The sequence below is a fragment of the Homo sapiens genome, chromosome 15, assembly GCF_000001405.40.
Source record: "Homo sapiens chromosome 15, GRCh38.p14 Primary Assembly".
NCBI classification, from domain to species: Eukaryota; Metazoa; Chordata; class Mammalia; order Primates; family Hominidae; genus Homo; species Homo sapiens.
This window is the reverse complement of record NC_000015.10, coordinates 47,721,229-47,740,632: the sequence shown is the minus strand read 5'-3', so window position 1 is coordinate 47,740,632 and position 19,404 is coordinate 47,721,229. Positions and strand designations below refer to the sequence as shown.

General features: G+C 40.5%; 1 protein-coding gene and 1 pseudogene across 9 annotated transcripts in view; one reads left to right on the top strand and one right to left on the bottom strand.

The window, feature by feature from the left end:
* The window catches only part of SEMA6D (semaphorin 6D), a 590,140-nt gene that overhangs the window by 33,596 nt on the left and 537,140 nt on the right, over nucleotides 1–19,404 (bottom strand). The gene's annotated exons all lie outside the window — the stretch shown is intronic.
* RPL7AP62 (ribosomal protein L7a pseudogene 62) lies at nucleotides 9,673–10,551 on the top strand (annotated as a pseudogene).

Below are 19,404 nucleotides of genomic sequence, written 5' to 3'. Positions count from 1 at the left end.
TTTAAGTATCTTGCTGACCAGGCAGAGTGGATATGAGAGAAAACTATATCAGAGGGCAAGTCTCTATCTCTGGAAGGCTTGTCTATGTTTTTTTGTTTGTTTGTTTTGTTTTTTGAGACGGAGTCTTGCTGTGTCACCAGGCTGGAGTGCAGTGGCGCAATCTTGGCTCACTGCAGCCTCCACCTCCCGGGTTCAAGTGATCCTCCTGCCTCAGCCTCCCGAGTAGCTGGGACTACAGGCGCGCGCCACCATGCCCAGTTAAATTTTTGTATTTTTAGTAGAGGTGGAGTTTCACTATGTTGGTCAGGATGGTCTCGATCTCTTGACCTGCTGATCTGCCCACCTCAGCCTCCCAAAGTGCTGGGATTACAGGCATGAGTCACCACGCCCGGCCATGTTTTTTACTTTCTATTTTCAACTATCAACAAAAATACTATAACCCAACCTGACAAAATGGCTGAAAAATGAGTCGCAATGCATGAAACCCTCAGGAGTTCCTGGATGATGGCCATCCTCTCACCACACAGGAGGATAAGTACCCTCATATAAACCAATGGAAAAGCAGGCTCTACTTTATGAATATTTTGGCTTCACCACCCACTAGCTTTGTGATCTTGGAAAAGCTACTTCACTTCACATCTATTAAAAGTAGAAAATAATTGGACCTATCTAAAATGGTTGTTTCCAGGGTTGTAGACTTAATATACGGAAAACTTAAACTTATGCAAATAAGTACAATTAGTATTAGCTATTATTATGGTTATTGTGTTGATATTATTATTAGCATCATTATGCTTCCTCACTGCTGTGTCCCCTGCCCTGTCATATTCTAACCTTTTCTGAAGACCACTCTGATGATTTCAGTATCTTCTTCTATGTTCCAAATTCTCTCTTGGAATATTCTTTGGAAGACTGGACCAAGAAACTGCAGTTCAAATAATTTCCCTTTTCCTAGTAGTAGAGACACCTAAATCAACCACTCAGCAATCAGGTGGGATTCTCATACATATGGCTGTCAACACATTAGAAGTTAAGCATCTTGCCAGTGTACATGGACCAAATATGCCTAATGTCATTATTCTTCTTGAGATGTATCACATGCTCAGACCCACCACTAAAACCTATCTTAACAGGAAAGAGCAACTACACAGATGATTAAAAGCCCTGAGACCTGACTGCTTGTGTGGGCGGGGGGTGGTGGAATACTGCAGATTCCCCACAGTGCAAAAGTCAGTCCAAGAGGCACCTGGCCGAATTCTTTGTTGTGGAAAAGGTAGACTAGGTTAACGGAGAACCCATCCCTGGACTATTCTGGAAAGCAAAGGTGGAGGTTGGTGCTATAATATCTACTAGTCCACTGTGCTCCAACTATCTAGTTTTTCAGCTTCCCAAAGGGCTGAAAATTCTGTATGGCAGTTTATAAACACAATCTCTCAGTGTTTTTTATATTGTTTCCATTCAGAAGTGGGTGTATATATCCTCCCTGTGAATCTGGGCTATGAGTGTTTGAATAATAGAATGTGGTGATGTGATGCTGTGCCAGTTTGGAGCCCAGGACTTAATACATAGGCAGCTTCCACTTCCTATTTCTTGGACACTGGTTGGAACCCAGCTACTGAAGTATGAAACAGCCTAAGCTGCTTGTGAAGACATCCTCATGAAGTGGCCCATAGGGAGAGGAACTAAGGCTATGGCTGTCAGCCCTAGCTGAGCCCTGAGCTGACAGGCAGCACCCACTGGCCTTCCATGAGAATGAGCACCTTAGACCTGGAGCCCCCCTCACCTACTAGAGCCACCCCAGTTGATACTACATAGAGTAGTGATGAGTCTTTGCTGAGCTCTGCCCACATTGTAGATTCAGGGGCCAAACAAATGATCGTGGTAGTTTTAAGCACTAAGTTGTGGGATGGTGGCTGGATAAATGAACCCTTCCCTGGATCCCCTCAGCACTCGCTTTATCCTGAAATCCTGCTTCCTCTGCTCTTTCCTGTCAGTCCAGCTGAAGATTGAAATTAGCTGTCAGAGCTGGAAACATTCCAGAGAAACAGAGAGTCTTTGGTCAGAATACAGATGTTATGACAATTCCCTAGTAATAGTCTTCAGATTGCTTTTCTATGTGTCAAACAGTAGAAACTTGTCCCTAAAATGTCTTGTCCCAGTCTTTTTAAAAAGTCAGGCTTCTTAGTACTATTTGCAATAGCAAAGACATGGAATGAACCCAAATGCCCATCAATGGTACACTGGATAAAGAAAATGTGGTACATATACACCATGGAATACTATGCAGCCATACAAAGGAATGAGATCATGTCCTTTGCAGGGACATGGATGAAGCTGGAAATCATCATCCTCAGCAAACTAACACAGGAACAGAAAACCAAACACCGCATGTTCTCACTCATTAGTGGGAGTTGAACATTGAGAACACGTGGACACAGAGAGGGGAACAACACACACCAGGGCCTATTTGGGGTAGGGGTTGAGGGGAGGGAACTTAGAGGATGGGCCAAGAGGTGCAGCAAACCACCATGGCACATGTATACCTATTAGAACAAACCTGCATGTTCTGCATATGTAACCCTTTTTTTTTTTTTTAAGTTTATCAGGCTTCTTGATAGCAATACTAGAAATGCAAATTGTTACGAAGGAGACACAACTTTACACTGGTGAAATTAGCTTCTGTTTTTTTAAAGATAATACTGGTAAAGTTGGGATGAAATCAATATATTGCACATGGCAGGGTAAATTAGTACAACCATTTTAGAAAATAATTTGGCAATGTGTAACACACATGCTCCTACATACACAACACACACTTAGAAAACTAACCTTTGACTTAGTAATTTTACTTCTGGTGATTTACCCTTAGCAAATAGTCTAAAGTAGGAAGGAAAAAAACGAAACTTATTTTATAATGGTGAACAAACTGGAAACAGCTTAAAATTGTAAACACAGAGAAGCAGTTAAAAGTATATTACACTAGCCTCATGAAATATGATGCAATCATTCAGATAATAATAATGAAAACCAGTAATCCTCAGCTTATGATGCAATACTAGGAAGGAAAAAAAATCAGAATATAAGGTTTATGTTCACTGATCACAACTTTATAAAACCGGAGATGCATATAGACAAATACTAGAAGGAAACAGATTTTTAAAAATTTAAGTTATTTTAGATTTTTCCCCTTTAAAATTAATACTTTATAATTGTTTTAACATTTAAAAAAGGGAGGATGGGAAGATGCTTCACTAAAAAACATTAAGTTACCTTCCATCCAAATAAACAGCTCATTTTTCTTGGTGAAGACAGTTATTGTCTGTCTGTTCAATAAAACCAAGAACTAGTACTGGGGTCCTATGGGATATGATTTTTGAAATATGTAATTATTCTAGAGGATAACTTCCTAGAGAACAAGTCCTTGATTATGTTTTGTTTTATTTGTACTGTGGGTGTACCCTAAGAAATCACGAAGGTAATTAAGAGATTTCAGCTAAATTAGCATATTATAATTTTTGCTCCCTTTTTCCTTCTTACCTCCTACTTTTTCCTTCCTACCTCCTACTTTTTCCTTCCTAAGCTTCTGAAATATAAAGTGCTAAAATAAAATTAGCAACAGCAATTCCTATTTTTAGAGTGAACTTTAATCTGATTTTCACAAAGATCCATGCCAATTCAAAATCACCGCCGTTCTCTTGGTGCTGGTATTACAGGGATTGTCTTTTGTATTAAAAGTTAAGAATTACAATCACACAGGAGTAAGAAAACCTGGCTTAAACTTCTCAGTGGTCTAATCTACACCAGTAAAAGCAAACAAAAAACTGATTGCAATTGTGTACTTGAATATTTAAAGCCAAAAACATTTGTACCTCAGTTGTTCAAATACTGGTATTTAAGATCTTCCTCAACTCTAAAACATGCACAGGGAAATGGAGAAGGAAGTTCTGGCTTATTTAAATTCCAAAATCCTGCTTAAAGTCCTGTGTGTATGACAGCAGGAAGTAAGGACATTTTCTGTACCAGCCTTCTTGCTTTTTGCTAGAGTAATCACCCTACATCACCACGATCCAAATAAGCGACAAACTAAGCCTTAAGTAAATTCCTATCTGGATATGTAGCAAAACAGTAAATCTGTGTTTTCATAAACAAATTTCTACAGATGACTTGTTTATATTTTACTTTGAAGATACATAGCTGCTTGGAACACTGAATCTATTTCAAAATTTGGTCACATTGAGCATTTTTCTCAGTCGTAAGATAATCATAGCAGATAAGGGTGATTCTGCAATTCTGCCTCTGTCAGGGTGACAAGGAGTCAGACTTCTCTTATCTCTGTGGCTCTTTTCAAATCAGCCCACTCAATGCTAATACAAATGTAAACACAGTTAGCCAACCATTAGGGGCTTGGGAGCTAAAATGTAAACTCCCTCATTTCTTAGTAGGCTTCTAAGCTAAACAGCCTACTGCTACACAATAAAACAGACCAACAGACTCAAGTCAGAATGTTCTCCAACAAAATAAAATAAAATAAATTGAATACAATTAAATTAAGCTAAGTCAATAAATAAACAAACCCCACAAACTGGATAACAAATTTTAAGAGGCCCAAAGATAGCTCTGGAAAGTAGAAAAGACAATCATTCCCTTTCTCTCCTTCTGTCTCTTACACACACCCTAAATCACTTGAGTTGTTTAAAAGAATCTGCATTAACACCTCTTGATTAGTGTCAAAGTAAAAATTGTTTAATAGTTAAGTGATGAAATGTGTACAACTAAGCATCATAGGTTTGATCTTAATTGGCTTGATACTGTGACTTACACTGGAGTTGTTTGTGGGCTTTCACCATTACGGAAAAGCTCCCCATCTCTTCAGGCCGACGGCAGGCTTGTGAAGTGGAGAGACCAACTTAATGATGCAAACGTTTAGGCGGGTGATTAGAGACACTCTGAGCATCACATTCTCTTGTGATCTTAAATTTGCTCAAGTAAATGACAGCTTCAAGCAGAACTGAAGATGTATCTAAAAATGATGATTGTGGAATCTCAGTTAATTTGGAGTTGTTTGTTTTCTCTGAAATGTCTTTTATCATTTCCATTTGTCAGTGACCTTAAGTGGATGAAAAACAAGTGTATCTGAAGTCTGTGTCTGCCATTAAACAGCTATAACTTTTAATACAGACTTTGTAGCAATGCTTGCAGAGGTGCAAGCTGACTGAACTAGGAGAGATCTTGGTTCCCACACTGAATAAATACAGACTCACTGTGTTTAGTGGTACCTCTTTCTTGCATCTTGGAGAGTCTGGGTCACTGGAGAACAGATATTTGGGCCATGATGACTATACCGTAGTGCCTTCTCTAAAAGTTATTGTTGTCATGTAAGACTGTAGGGCTGCCAATCACTTGGTACCACATTGTGGGGTCTGTTTTGATTGGTTAGTGCCCATGCCAGAGGGCTGGCAACATATTTTTATTATAATCTCCCAACACACAAAACTTCTTGGGCTGAAAATCAGAAAATCCTCAGGGATGTCAATATTTGTATATTAGAGTTTTAAGGTCTTGGCTATAGATTTTTTTTTAAGTGTGGCAAAAGTACAGGAGTGAGTTAAGTCTCTTCTGGGAAATTAGCATAAAATCTACAGAAACAAAAGGACAGATCCAAATGAAATGAGCAGAATAATAACAGTGCTCAATCAATTTGATTTTATATTTTAAAAACCACCAAACTGCATGTAGGCCTTGGCTAGAAGTCAAAGATTTCAACTACACAGCTCAACTTTCTCAAGAAGAGTGCTAATTTCAATTTTTATTTTGGTCCCATAATTCCCATAATCCCCTAATTTCTAGTTTTGAAAGTAGAGTCACCACACTTAAAACTCAAACCTAGGCTTGGCATTATTTTACCTATGTCTTATTCCCTGAGGTATCAAGATTACCAGCCATGTTCTTGGAGACCATGTGTAGTCTGCCTTAGTTTACAGCTGAGAAAACCAAGGACCAGAAATTAGGTAGCTTCCTGAGTATGTGACACAGTGGAAACTCAAGACGCAAATTCTGTGGCTCTTTTCAACTCATGTCTGCTTACTCAGATCAATACAGAGTAAATTTCATTGGTGACAAGGAGAAGTCAGGATCAGCTACGTGATTTGCAGGGCCCTGTGTAAATAAAAGTGTGGTTCTCCTTGTTCGAAAAAAATTAAGGATTTGAAGATGGCAACAGCAGAACATTCCAAGCATGGGACCAAGTGCAGCTCCAGGTCACATACCCAGGAAACTGATGCTACATGCAGTTGTTCCATGATTTACTGGACTTTGATGCTTTGAAGGCAAAGGGGAAGAAAAGCTCTGTGAACACTGAAGATGCTCTAAAATTATCTGTTGCATGAATAAATGAATGAATGAATAAGTGAGTGAGTAAGATGCTTCTATACCTAGAGGGATCTTAAAAATTACTACTACGACTGAGGGACAGGTTGAGCTAATCCAGAAAGTTACTATGAGTACTTTGTCCATCATTTACGTTCTAAAATTCATCATCTGAAAATACTTCACAACATGATAAACCTTCCCACCCCATCACAAACAAGTCTCCAGAATCAGGTTCAGCAGTGAGTGGCCGTGTGTACATGTGGTGCTGCTTCTGTGCTCTGATGGGCTCAAGAAATGCCACATGCAGACTTGTTCTTATATTTTCTCTGTCTCTTTATGCTTTTAGAAGTAGCCATCCAAATACTTTTTTTGGGGGAGGAACCAATCCATGTATAAAATCCATAAGCCTTTCCTATATGAATATTTTACATATTGCCAAACATCCTTGATTTGAAAATAGTAAATATAAAAACCAAAACTACTATAACTTAGTGAGTTTATGTCAGATACCATGCTAAGTGCCTTGCATGTATGTCCTCCTGAAGACCTAGTAACATCCTTATTTGGTAGAAATATTATCCTAACTTTCCAGTGAGGAAAACCAGGCTCTGAGGGGTTAAGTGGCAGACTCAGAATTTGAACCCCGGACTCTCTGGACTCACAAGGATGCACAGTTGGGAAGGAAAATTGCAGGCTGAATATAGAGAGAGTAGCGAAGCAAGGGTTATTGCTTTCCCTTAAGGAACAAGACTCGTATTCAATGAAGCCTGAGTGAAGTTTTACCTTGGTGAACAAAAATGCAACTAGAAAACACTGACAGTAGAAATTTCAAATATTGAAAATCTAGGTGGTTAATTTTTACAGCTTCTTGCAAAGAAACATCAGCTGTACAAAGAGAGGTAAAGAAGGAGCCTCCTTACCTGTGTTTTATGATGTCTTAGGACTGATTTATTGTATTATTGTACCAGGAAAAGAGGTTAAACAGGACAGGGTGAAGGAGGACTCGGAGCCAGGCCAAGAGTTCCACTTAGGTAGTTTGCAGTGTATTTCATTAAGTGATAAGAAAGATTAAAAAAAAGTGAGTGGGTACCTGTCCTCAGTAGATACAGAATTTATCACATGTAACAGAAACACTACGAAACTTTAGCTTTAGAGCTTTAAGGGTTAATGAGCTTTTTGAAGTAGGAACCATGAGAAAATGTGAATTTATAATCATGAAATGTCTTACAGAGTTGAAGAGAATCGAGTTAGCATCTGTGTCTCCACCTCTCAAGAGATAAAAATGCCTTCATAATTACGGCTCGTGTTTACTATGATGTTTCAAAGTGTTAATCTGGCAGGGGTATCTTATTTCTCATTTAAAAGAAGCTACAGGAAACAAATATGGAAGTATAGTGAAAGAGAAGTCGTTTTATGAATCCTGCCTACATTTTTGTAGCATTTTCTTGCAGTGTCATATCTTTTATTTTTTTTAATTGCCTAATCAAATGCAAATTCTGTTCCAAGTATGCAAAATTTTCAAATCATGCAGAAAAACATTGCTGGCCAAACACCAAACTTTGAATAGTTTGAGCACATTCACAAATGTGTTTAATGTACACTATGTGTAGGTAATATGTATAAATAACAATGGTATAAATAACAATGTATAATTCTCTATAACAAAATGGTGATTTTGTTTGTGTATCCACTGGTAAGCCAATCTCTCCCATTTGGGTCAACTGAGGTGGTCCCATTCCCCTGCCCAAGACTGCTTTAGGCTTCATACATGAGCAGGTGACATGATGTTATCCAATGAGAGCCCGGGAAAATCTGTTACTAGGAAAGGTTTCCTGGGAGAGTTTGTCTCTTGATCTGTTGGATTCTCACCTTGAATGTACCAGTCCTACTAGGAACATGGAAGGAGCTAGCAAAGCAGAAGGTTAACAGGTTGAGAATGGCAGAGAAGAAACATGGAAAACACCTGAGTCTTTGATGACTTTGTTTAGCCAAAGAATTAACCAACCTTGGAGCAACCACATTTCAGGACTTCTTACTATGTGACTTAATACGATCCTAATTGTTTAAGCAATTTTAAATTAGGTTTCCTCTTACCTGTAGTCCAAAGCATACTAACAATGGAAAACCCAACATGACTGAGCACCTTATTGTGTTCTAGGAACTGTGACGGTCAATTTCCATGCATTATATTTAACCGATTTCACATCTCTTTAAGAATATTTTCTCCATTTTACAGAAAAGGAAACTAGACTCGGAGGTCTAGTGATATACCCAATTTCTCAAATCTGTTAAGGAAACAGGATGGGTTTCCAACCTACGTCTGTCTGACGTTGAAGGCTATCATTTAAAATCTCTATAGGGGCACATGTCTATGTGTGGTGTGTTATATTTTTATATATGTCTATATTTACATACACCTATGTATAGCGTGGACATATGTACATACATATACATATATGTGTAGTGAAGGTGATATCTATGGTAGCATAACCATTTATCATATATTTTGAATCTTTGATGGAGTGTTAAAGACAGCAGGAATAATTGTGGAAAAAGGCAACAAAATAAATCAAATGGCAAGAACTGGGTAAAGTAATAATTACCAAGTTTTTTTATGCATTGGAAGTTACTTATCTGCCTTCCCATGGATCAGATAATTCAAGCTCTGTTCTTGCAGCTAGCTGGGACATCACTTCAGGTGACATCTGCATTAGACACTTATCAACCTGTACAAAGACCATGCTCAATGAGGGCTACCATACACTCTCCCTTTTTCATAGAACACTTTGCCAATCTATGAAGGCATTCTCTTTCTCTTTGTCCTTGGATGCAGGCCTACAAATTTCTGAAGCACAAGCTGTAACAGCCACTACCAGTAAGTCAGGTTTGGCTCTCTACTTTGAAACTCATTTGCCTTCTCAGTTCTATGTGTTCAACCGGGGGCGGGGGGGCAGTGGCTCTTTGGGGATATAACTGAAAATTACTGGGAAATTGTGCAAAGGTAAGGCATCGACCCCTGAGAGCTGAATGAGGTGCAATTACTGCTAACTGAAAATATTATCTATGTATTTCTGAAAATTGAGTCTCAAAACTATATTAGCAGCAATGAAGTTTACGTGATCCCAAAAGAAAAGGGCAAAGTGTTGCAAAATGTAAATGGCAATAATAAATTTGAGAAGTTGGACTATCTGTGTGTCTGTCTCTTTTCACAGGTAGCTACATGCACATTCATGAAGTAGATTAATATTTTCTAAAATCAGCATGGTATTTGATTGTACTGCTTAGGTAATTAAAATAGGAAGATTGCTCTCTCCTCCCGCTGCCCAAGATGCTGAAAGGAAAGAAGGCCAAGGGAAAGAAGGTGGCTCCGGCCCCTGCAGTCGTGAAGAAGCAGGAGGCTAAGAAAGTGGTGAATCCCGTTTGAGCAAAGGCCTAAGAATTTTGGCATTGGACAGGACATCCAGCCCAAAAGAGACCTCACCCGCTTTGTGAAATGGCCCCACTATATCAGGTTGCAGCGGCAGAGAGCTATACTCTATAAGCGGCTGAAAGTGCCTCCTGCGATTAACCAGTTCACCCAGGCCCTGGACCGCCAAACAGCGAGCTGCATAAGCTGGCCCACAAGTACAGACCAGAGACAAAGCAAGAGAAGAAGCAGAGACTGTTGGCCTGGGCCGAGAAGAAAGCTGCTGGCAAAGGGGATGTCCCCACGAAGAGACCACCTGTCCTTCGAGCAGGAGTTGACACCGTCACCACCTTGGTGGACAATAAGAAAGCTCAGCTGGTGCTGATTGCACACGACGTGGATCCCATCGAGCTGGTTGTCTTCTTGCCTGCCCTGTGTCGTAAAATGGGGGTCCCTTACTGCATTATCAAGGGGAAGGCAAGACTGGGACGTCTAGTCCACAGGAAGACCTGCACCACTGTGGCCTTCACACAGGTGAACTCGGAAGACAAAGGCGCTTTGGCTAAGCTGGTGGAAGCTATCAGGACCAATTACAACGACAGATACGATGAGATCCGCCGTCACTGGGGCGGCAACGTCCTGGATCCTAAGTCTGTGGCTCGCATCGCCAAGCTCGAAAAGGCAAAGGCTAAAGAACTTGCCACTAAATTGGGTTAAATGTACACTGTTGAGTTTTCTGTACATAAAATAATTAAAATAATATAAATTTTCCTTCAAAACTAAACTAAACTAAACTAAAATAAAATGGGAAGATAAACATAGCATTAAGGGATCTCACTACTAGAAAGAACTCTGGAGGTCATATAGACTCTCTCCCGCCCATCACCACCTCTCTTTGTCCTAAGGAGAAAACTAAGGCTAGCAAGGCCAGTCCTTGTCCACAGATAATCTGGTTGTCTAACAGTTCAGCTAGGCTGTGTTCTTCCAGACTCTCAGCTCCTTTTTCGAATTGCTCTGACAGCCTTTTCAGTAATGAGCACACATTTTGAACTTTAAAGTTACATTAAACCAGAGATTAGCTAAGTGTGTAGTGAAGAGAAGAGCGGGAGAGATGGGTAAGAGAGTGAGGGAGGGATCTCTGATAGCTTTCTACAGTTCTTTGGAAACCTAGCAGAATATAGGCTCTGGATTTTCTGATTGGCCTCTGTGGGTATCAATCCTCACAGGCTGGAAATGGACTTGGCTATCAGCAGATGGAGTGGGGTGATCTTACCTGACAAACCCCATCCAATCTGCCAAGGGGCAGTGCCAGAGCCAGAAAATGATGGCCCAACTGCCCCTGCCATCCTTCTTCAACTACCCTTTGCTGAACTAGTAGTTCCATTAAAACACATTCCTATAGACCTCCAAAGTGGTCCCTTGGCCCCCAAAATGCTCCTTGTTCCTTCAGTTATCCAGTGAAAGACAAATGGATTCAGGGATCCCTGTAAATCTGGTTAATTGGATAAATAATATACACCCTGAGAAGAAATAAATGAACGACTCCATGTACAAAGCAGGACTTGAAGATCAGGAGGTCAATGTTTGTGTTGTTACTACTATGATGATTATATTTAAAAGTCCCCAATGGATTAGTCTAAAAGCAACAGGGCTTTTCTCACCACTCACATTCTATGATTTTATTGTTTGCTTCACTGATTAAATCGAAGGGTTTATAGTGAGTAATTGAGATGCTGGACTTTGAAGTGACAGCCTTGGGTGTGAATTCTGACTCTGGCCGCACGCTCCTAGCAAGGTACTTCACTGTGGGAGGAAGAATAATGTCCACACCCCTCAAAGATGTCCATGCCGTAATCCCTGGAATGGGTAAATATGCTGCCTTACATGGCGAGAGGGACTCTGCATTATAATTAAGTAATGGATATTAAAATAGGGAGATTATTCTGGATTATCTGAGTGGTCCGAAGCTAACCACAAGGGTCCTTTGAAGATGGAAGAGAGAGGCAGAAGAGTCGGAGAGGGAGAAGTGACTATGGAAGAAGTCTCAGTCATAGGATTGCTGGCTTTGAAGATGGAGGAAAAGGGTCACGTGTGAGAAGAAATGAAGACAGCCTGAGAAGCTGGAAAAGGCAAGGACACATTCTCTCCTGGAGCTGCTATCTGGATTTTAGCTCAGGGAAACCCGTTTCAGACTTCTGACCTCCAGAACTAAAATAATACATCTGTGTGGCTTTAGGCCAATGCGTTTGTGGAAATTCGTTACAACAGCGATCGGAAACTAAGTGATGCTCCTTGAGCATCTGTGTCCTCATCTATAAAATGAGAGGTAAAACTAAGTGCCCCAAAAGGCTGATATGAGCATTAGATGAGAGAATGTAAACAAAACTTCAGTGCTTGGCACAGATTAAGAACTCAATAAATGTTTGCTGTCATTATGTTTATGATGTCACCACACAGAGTATGAATTTATATATGGCTGATTATAATAAAGTGATTCCCCAAAGTATATTTCATTGTATCATAATAATACTTTTCACTAGAGCAGCACCTATCTGGTTTTTATGAAGCACTTTTGTCCATACTGTCTTATTTAATGCTCATTCTAATCGTGCAGGGTGAGTAAGGGATCCACAGGTGAGGAAACTGAGTCTCCAAGTGGGGAGTGCTTTCCTTAGGTAACTCAGAAGCTCATTCTGTTGGCCAGGGCTGGAGTACAGGGCATCTGCTTCCAAATGCAGTATGCTCCCAGCTTCATTGTGTGGCTTATAGAAATACACACATACGGTACACAGAAGCTTAATATGAAACAAAAATGATAAAGCCAAATGATGATGGGGGTTGTTCACTGCAACCCAAACCATTTCCCATATGATCTCAGCCAGCGGAGCTTTCTGCTGGGCCTCCAGCTCTTCCAAGCACGGCTTGAGCACTCTCTCTAATGCATCTAGTCAATTGTGCAAAGCACAAGGGAAAAAATTCCATCCTGACCGCAGCAGGCAATCACCTTATGCCCTGAAGCATGAAGTTTGATTACCCTTATCTCAGTTTATCATTAAATCAAAAACTGTTGCTATGAATACTGGCCCAGGACTTCATTTATGAAATGATATAGGCCGGTCAGCAGAAATAAGTGAGTGCCCTTTTTCTTTCATAATTTCTGCTCACTATAAAGATCCTTTGCAAACTGGGGGGGTTGGGGGGGAAGCCACTTTAGCTCTGAGCAGATTTTATTACTTTCTTTAGTCTTTCATGAGCTAGCTGGGATGTCTTCAGCTCATAATCATTCTCTTCGTGCCGTAGGCAAGAGGTCTTAGATCTACTACTGAGTGGCCTGCCAACAGTAGCCCTGAGGTCTAGCACCTTGTTTGGATAGAAATCTGCATTTTAGCAAGATGCCAGGCAATCTGTAGGCACACTGATGTTTGAGGAGCTCTGGCTACACTAGAGCACCATTTCTCAAAATGTGGTGAAGGGACAATGGGCACAAGTTACCTGAAGTGTTCCTTAAAAACACAGACTACTGGGCTTCATTCCAGACGCAGCGAAACAGACCCATTGATGTTGGAGCTCTGGGAATCTGCATTTTAACCCTATATGATTGTGAGGAAATTTAAAGTCTGAAGACCACTGGTGGAGATCAAAGATGTGCGTGACGACAGAGATGGCCTGGAGTGTGCTTAAATTTTTATGACATTATTCAGATTTTTAATAGCCCCAGGGCCACCAGCACAGAACATGTGCTAATTATCCATGTTTAGTCCTTCAACAGTACCGACAGTGGAAGCCAGATTTTTGACACCACAATTCTGAAACAGCTGACATCGGGGTTAGGAATCTTCAAAAGGGTGCCAAGGTCTAGGGTAAATCTCCAGCCCACTGAACCTCTCCTTCTAAATTCCCCTTTCCAGTTTGGCTGAATGTGTGGCAAGTATAGTGAGTGGGAGTGCAGGGTAGCTGTTGTGGAACTGGCCTCAAGGTACATATATCAGTTAAAGAAATAGGATAAAATCACATGTGAAAAGACAGCACAGTACAAGGGCTAAAAGCATAGGCTCTGGAGCCAGCCTGCATTTATTTTTATTTAACAGACACTGATATATTTATAGCACTCACTACATGCCAAGCACTATTATAAGTGCTGTTCAAATATTAATTCATCTGTGTCTCACAACACCCCTAGGAGGTGGGTATTACCACCATCATCCACCTTTTATAAGGTGAAAATGAGTCTCAAAGAGGTGAAGTAATTTGTTAAAGATTACACAGCTTATCAGTCACACTCCAAAACTCACAGCCCCCACGAAGTTGACTCCAAGAGTTCATGTTCTTACTCACACTGCCTATCATGGGTCCAGGTACCCTGGTTCCACTAGTCACTAGCTGTTTGACCCTAGGAAAATGACTTCATCACCCATGACTCAGTTTCCTCCTGTACAAAATGAGAATATTCCTAATAATGTTACTCACGTCAAAGAATGCTGATCAAATGATTTAATACATGTTCTTAAAAGTGTACCAGGCACATAGTAAGCACTCAATATATGTTGGCTCTTAGTTAGCTATTAGTCCTATACTCCCAGAGGTAGAGTGAGGATTAAATTAGATAACATATTTGAAGTGCTAGGCACTGTGCCATGGCACATGGTAAGCACACAGTAAGTGCTAGCTGTTATTATTAGTCTAGTTGAACCAGGCCAGTTTATTTTAGATCCCGTCTGTAGGCAAGTGTGCTCTGCGCAGGGGGAGGCAGCTTGCCCTTCGCTTCAACAAGCAACGGGGTGGGAGCCAGACCGATTACTAAACTAAACAGGTTCTCTGCTTTATGTCACTCGAATATTCCTGAAGAGTTCCCAACATTGAATTTGTATATGCTTAATCCTTTTTCCCTATTGACCTATTTTATAATTTCTGATTGATCTTTAATTGGCAGTGATTCTTCAGACTTAAGATTCGTCTCTAAGACTATCTGTCACATAACTATTAACTTGTAACAGACTTAAATATACCATGGAAAATTGAACCCCTGGAGCAATTCTTGGCAAAGCAATTGACTTGATCATTCCCTAATGTAACTGTTTTCATTTTATTTTTCCTTTATTATGTGTTTTAATAAGCATACTTATACTACACAGAACTTCTGGTCTTTCCTGTTTTGAAGCTTATTACCTCCACTATTAAACTTAACCATGGATTGATTATACTTTATGTTAATCAAAGGGTTAATGATGGCTTGGGAACTCTAATGTCTAAACAGGTTATCTTGGGTGAGGGGGTTGAGTATGGCAGGACCAAGGGGGAAGGTGAGGGAGGTGGGAAAGTGGGGGACTGGGGACCGTTAGTGGCAGATGAGTTTATCTGGAAGACTCAGGCCCTGAAAGGGGTGCTGATTCCCCCTGGGAACCTTAAAATGAGATTTTCCAAAAGGAAGTATTAAAAACGTTCCAAGTCATTTCCCTTTTCTCTATTAGGAAAAGGTTGTCATAGCTCCAACCTCATTCCTTTCAGTTTACCAGCCATGATAAACTATATCTGCAATGTAATAAAAGTTAAACTCAATTAGCGCATTTATTAAAACACTTGCTGCATATCTACTATGTGTCACTCCCTCTGCTAGCTTACAGTGATGAGCATGCACTATAGCCTCAAAAAACCTGCAGTCTAAGCAGCACCTAGAGTCCAACTCATATGAGCATGGTTTCAATATGTGTCTATCCTCTCTTCCACTTCCTATCTTCACATTCCCTTCTCTCCCCTCCAAAAATCCTCATATACATATGCGACGTATTCTTTATTTTAGAATCTACATCTAAAGCCTTTTCAAGTTTAAGAAAAAAGATGAAGCCAGTGAAGCCACAGACTTTCAGTTTGGTTCTGCTAAACAACTCTATGAGAGGAACTTGGTGCTGGGTAATTTGAGGCAAATCATCTTACTCCTTGCAACGTTCATGTGTATCACTGAACCAGTTGGCAGCTGATGTGCGGGTTTTAGTCCTGATCACGGAGCAATCTAGTGAATTGCCACAAGATTGATCCTATTCATTCTGATGGCTTAAGCTGTAGGGCCATCTGCTGAATGGCTAAGTATAGTAGACCAGAGACGCTCAATAAATATTTGTGGATTGCATGGCAAACTGCCTCTTCACACCTGAATTACAAGTCTGTTGTAGGTAAGGGCATAAATATGGACAACTGATCTAGACCCTCACCCCCACCCCACCCCTGGGCTTTTGCCTAAGCTGTTCTCTATGCCTGGAATTCCCTCCCTCTCAACACCTCCCCCACCACCCCTCACTGTCCACCTGTCCAAATCCTACCTAGTTCAAGAACCAGCTCAAATATCAGTGACTCCACAGAGCCTTCCCTGACCACCCTAGCCAGAAATAACCTCTCACTCTTCTCAATTTCCCTAAGTCTGTGTATATCTTTTCTGGCACTTAAAACACACAGCGTTTCAGCTATTTGTACACCTTGTTTTTCCTACAGCACGCAGTAAGATCCCTGACCTCTGGAATTGTGTGATGCTCCTCTTTGGGCCCTCTCCTGCCCTGTACCCACTTGTACAGAGTAGACCCAGGGTAAAAGTTAGCTGAATGAACAAATGTTAGTGCCAGCAATGGCAAGAACAACTGCAACATTCTTTATTCCTTCTTCTGCCTCCTCTTCTCCCTCTGTAGCTTTTAAAAATATCTTTATTTGATCCACCAATTACCCAGAGGAGGCCTGAAGACTTACTGATAAATAAAGACAACTCTGTAGACCAAAAAATGCTTGCAAAGACCCTTATACTAACAAGTGAGGCGTAGGCCAGTGGAGAGGGGAATCTCAGTCCCTGCTTTGCTGACAGCCTGCTCCTGGGGAGTAGAAGTGTTATTTTCTCAAAGAGCTTCGTCTGCTCTGGTTCTTATGTGCCAGTTCCTCAGCTGAGTAGAAACTCCTGACGTTATTTTTAAGTACAGACTCCAATAATAGGCTAAGTAATTGCAGATCTTCCTGAGGCCTTATTATATATGTACCAACATATTGGGCTTTAAAAACCCATATTCCTTCCTGTAAATATATGTTGAGAACCTTACATTTCAGTATTATGTGTAGTGGTCATGTGTATTTCCCTTTTTGTTTCTTCTCATAGAGATCCTGAATAAAAAAAGAACAAAAAAAAATGCTGATGCATGAGAGAGAATTAAATGCTGATGCATGAGAGAGAATTTCTCAACAATGTATCTGATTGAAAGATTTTCCCTCCATCATAACTAAGAAAAATGTATAGTACAATCTAATAGAGACTTTAACTTCAGTAATACACTTTCCATACTGGTGCCACTAATGCTTGAACAGCTGCAGCTCTCACTGTCTTTGCTGATGGGGCCCATAAATTCCCCCCGGGAAATGGGACAAAGATACGTAATGGATCTTCACCTGCCAAGATCAGGGAAATGAATGTCAATCACACCCGGACGCAGAAGCACTTTTTGGTGGAGAGTGATGAATATTGCCATTTGTCCTATGCCACTGTAATCTTGGACAGGAAAGCCTAACATGGAGAAAAATGGTGGGAGAAGATACCGTTCTAGGATGCTTGAAAAGAAGGGTGTGTAATAATTATACGGCCAATGGAAATAAAAAATGAAAGTAAAGTATAACAATGTGATTTAGATTAGAAAAAAGATGGTAATTTAAGAGCACATCCACCGTGTACATATAATTTCACTCAGTACGCAATTTTCCCCCAAAACATGACTTTTTCATTGAAAAGCAAATGTCAGAAGTATTAGGAAGTCAGAAAACTGCAGGGTGGTCTGTGTTCTTGGAAGCAATCCGGTGCAGTGGTGAAAAAGTGGGCTGAGATGTCGGGAAGCCTAAGTTCAAATCCTGCCCCTACCACCTTTCCATTATGTAACCTCAGGAAAATGACAGCTTCTCAGCACCTCACTTTGTTTACCAATAAAGCAGTGATAATAACAGAATTCACCTTACAGAGCTGTCTGAGGGTTATATGATATAACCAATATAAAGATCTTAGGACGGTGCCTAGAATTTAGTAAGCTAACATTAAGTGTTAAGTATTGTGGTTGCTGCTGTTCTTTCCTCTTCTTCCTCCGCCTCCATCATCATCACCATCATCCTTCAGATGTTTTGTGGCTGATTTCACTAGTAAATGTTATGGAGAGAAGAAAGACTACATGCTAACTCACACCCAAACATGAGGCAGTCTCCCCTTGACACATCAATTTCCAAAAACTGGATTCCTAATTATGAAAGTTTAAACATCCAAACAAAAAAGCCTGGCAACATAACCTACAGATGTAGCCAGCTAATTCATGTTATTCTTGCTTTAACAAGCAATGGCTACTATAACAGATATCTTATTGAGTAAAAAGAAGAAAACAAAACAAAAAAAAAGCGACAGAAAGTTTCGGCACTAGTACACACGGGCCCCATATTTAGGTACATCGCGTGTTCTTTGTGAAAAGGGATGTAGCAATAACTTGCTCAGTTCACCAAAAAAGGTCTTTTTTCTATCTTCAGTCATTTGGGATCACAGGCTGAAGGCTACTTCATTCCTTTCTTCCCCTTTTCAAGTAGACTCAAGTTCTGAAGGTGTAAGATGAGTGGTGGCTGAATGGCTCCTTCTAATTCTGTGATTCTGGTGGTTTGATCTTACAGGCCTCAAGAATCTTTCCTGTGGTGGTATAAGGTTGGGGCAAGCCTCCTTTTAAATGGAACACACCATTGCAAGGTGGCAAGGACTTTCAGTAGCTGTGACCCCAGAACTGGATGAGGGGCCTGGGACAGGTTGCCAAACAATGGAAACTTCCCGTTCTGGGTGTTAACTTTAGTTACCACAGGCAGACAATACTGCCAGTGGTATAGAAGAAAAAATTGCTGTAGCCAGCTGTGCTGTTCACAGCCGGATGGATTCCATGTAGCTCCAAATGGTGATAGAGCCAGCAGCCTGTTGTAGCCAAGGACAGGATGATGGATGATCTACATACTGTGTCCAAGCAGAGAGAATGGCAGAAGTTCACTTCAGGGTTGTTAAAATGCTAATCTGGGTGAGTTAACAAAAGCTTAATAGAAAAGGAAAGTTTGAGAAATAAGTACACCTCATGTGGTATCTGTGTGGACCACTGATTTGATCGCCCTTGGTTACATAAATGGTTGTTTTTCAAAGTAAGAACGTCTAGTAGTTTTCCTGTTGGGAGAAATGCAAGCAGCTTCAATTATCAGTGGCACTGCCAGTGTTGTCAGGTGTGAGGAGGAAAACTCCACCTGACAATAGCCACCTCAACTAGAAAGTGTTATGGTATGTTTAAAATAGTTATGTGATTTTTATTCTCTCCGTGTGTCATGGGAATAAATCAGAACACTTTTTTTTTCCCCAATTGGAAGTTGGCAGCTGTTCACAAAATCAGCGGCAACCCAAGACACTAGCTTTGGTAGATATTAACACTAAGTCTCCATTCACATGAGCCACAGAAAGTGAGATCTCTCACTCTAAGGACAGATTCAATGCGTGAATTACACTTAACAGTACATTGAATCATTCACTAGTGTTAAAGGCAGGTAGGCTGCACCACTGCAAATATCTGGTATGGATAATCTTGCTTTAAAATCTCTAGAATAAAATA